Raw genomic sequence first — 2,872 nt, forward strand, 5'->3', positions numbered from 1 at the left:
CCTACAAAATTATGTTTTCCTCAAAAAGCAGACCTTGCCTATAGAATATTTAGGGGAATATCATAGTTATGGTTATATGATTTCATCTCCTATTACCCTGTCCTTCTCGAACTCTTTAGTTAGAGACCAGCCTGGGCAACACAGGAGACCTTGTGTCTAAAAACAATTTGAAAAAAGTTTTTTAATAACAAATAGTAGGGTTGAGTAGATTCCTCCTCAAGGTTTCAAATGTCTCTCCAAGGCTTCCTTGACTTAAAATAATGTATATGCTTAATTTATTATTTATTTTTTATATCTGAATTGAATGGATCCTTTCCTCTGAAAAGTATCATGAAAATGGAAAATATCACATTTTATATGGAAAAAATACCACAAACCAATGATGCCAGTATTTATATTTGAGTATTCACATGTATATGTATTATTGCTAGGACTTGGTTACTGCAGCACACTCATTACACATAAAATACACAGTAAAAGGTAAACTATGAAGAATTATATATATCTAAGGTCTAAAATTCTATTTATCTATCTATCTATCTATCTATCTCTATGTAATCTATCTATGTGTCTATTGAATTTGTCCATTGGGAGCTGGGGCAATGAGGGAGACTTATACTCAATTAAATAACCCTTTTTAAAAACCCAACTTAATTCAGTGAATTGACTGTGACCTTTTAGAAATAGCTGTATATCTGAGTAATTTTAGAACTTTCACTTCCAAACCAGTATGAGCCTCTAATACATGTATATTTAAATACAATGATGTGCATATGTTCTCTGTATCCACAGGCAAAACCTTGCAATTCTTATTTCTCAAATTACAAGCCTTATGCCTTAGTCCCCTGCTCATCCTTGCCATCACCTCTCCCCTTATTAGAAAAGTCCCATTTTGTTGGTCCAGATTTACTGGCAGAGAAATGAGGAATGCTCTCCTGTTATTAAAACTTTATTACTTTTCAAAGATGGGACAGGTGATTTCCAGCTCCCTTCGAAGTATCATCATAAATAATTAAATACAAATATTACACCTGTTAAAATAAATGAGTAAAGGTCAATTCTGTTCCTGACACTTTCTTGATTTTTCATGAGTGTTTATTCACTTAAAAGTAACTGTCTGTGATGGATCTTCTGGTCATAAAGATTAATTTCAATGGGTTTACATGTAAATGCATATAGATAAATACAACTCATACAGTGTTCAGATTTATTCATATAATAGCATATATTATTCATATTTATGCATATATGTTGTATATATTCACCTATATAGTTCATGAATATGTTATTGCACCAATACACATATATACCTATGAATATTTATGTGTACATGTTCTACTATTTATTCATGCTAGGAATTCAAAAGCATAGGAGTTTAGGTCTATAAAGTATGTCATTTTATTAAACTATATGGGAAAGTCTAATATAAATTTGTCGAACATGTAAAATTGTACTGTCCTTTTTAATCTAAAACTTTTACCATTATCTGAAAAGTTGGCTGATGAAGAGATTACAATTTGGAAACAGATTCATTGCCTGCCTAATCAGCAAATAGGTTGAAGGAAAAAGGGAAGTCCTAGGCACAGTGAAATGCAGGCTAAGTGAGTTGGAGAGATGCGGGCAAGCTTGCCAGAAATAGATTGCATTGCGCTTTCCTGGAAAGGAGGAAGAACAAAAACACAAATGGCAAACTATCACCCTGTTTAAACAGTTCAGAAAGAAAGAGGGAGAAGGGAGGGATGAAGGAGGTGGGGGAAGAGGGTTAGGAGGTAGAGTTAGGGGAGGGAGGAGAGAAACTTCAGAGTGGGGGGAAAAACCTCAGCAGACAATTAGACTAATCTTCAGCCAGCCAGGCTTGTGGGTTCATTGTTTGGTATTTGCAGGGGCCCAAGCTGTGTGCCCTGGAGGGGCGACCTTCTAATCATTATCTGTCTGTTTTATTACCCAGCCAAACTGGGCCCAGTTTTAAATAAAATATGCAAAGGTTTCTTAAATTATCACCTGGGGCAAGGCGGATCGCCTTTCTTGCTGTACATGTTGTTAATCTGTGAAATGCAAATTCCCTTCATCTTATAGTTGGGCTTTATTAACTTTTTTGAATTTAAAATTTCTCGAACAATGAGTTCTGTCAGCTTCTGAAATTATATTTTCTCTTTTTTTTCCCTCCTCTAACACGGAAGCGAGTTTAAAGCATAAAATCACCAGGGGAAATAAGAAGAGTTTCATCTCGCTTTCAGAATTTAATTGGCTCCTTAGCAATTATTAGTTTTTGCTGTTAAAGTCATTTTTTATTACTATAAGTATTTTCTTAAAGAAACCACATTACCTTTCTTGGTGAGGAGTGAAATGTCATAGGCAAAAAAGATGAAGGGAGGGTGGAAGAGAGAAGAAAAAGTACACACTTCAGAAGGGATCCGAGTAACTTATGCTATTGATCTTCCTGGCTCAGAAGTTGTAAAATTTAACCCTTACTTCATTGATCTCCTAAGGCTCGGGAATTCAACAAGCTAAATTTTATTTTTTTAAGTTTTTTTTTTTCTGATTTATATTTCAAGCTCCAAGTGAGAACTCTTTTTTATGCCTTGTTCTCCACTCCCTCCTCCACTGCCTTCTCTTGCTCCTTCATTTTCCAATCATTCTGATTCAGCACTCATCATTAATTCATAAATGAGGATGTACAATCTGGATTGCTCGCTTTGTGTTGACAGTTTATCTTAGAGCTCGTGAATCTCTACAGTCTTGTCCATCTACTTGCTATGTAAGGGTGCTTAAGAAGGGTCGTGTGTCAAACCCGTTTCATAATGAGGGGTGCTGGCGGTGGACTTGCTGATGAAGAAAGGATCCTACACTTTCTTCATTTTAACTATGTACT

At 35.3% G+C, this 2,872-nt stretch overlaps 1 annotated feature.

Moving 5' to 3' along the window:
* Window positions 1,577–2,619: an enhancer, noted in NCBI's record as "VISTA enhancer hs217". NCBI's record gives its function as "enhancer in: hindbrain (rhombencephalon)[14/20] | midbrain (mesencephalon)[11/20]" and the evidence as "EXISTENCE:transgenic organism evidence [ECO:0001131][PMID:17130149]".

This window comes from Homo sapiens, chromosome 6, assembly GCF_000001405.40.
Source record: "Homo sapiens chromosome 6, GRCh38.p14 Primary Assembly".
Classification (NCBI taxonomy): domain Eukaryota; kingdom Metazoa; phylum Chordata; class Mammalia; order Primates; family Hominidae; genus Homo; species Homo sapiens.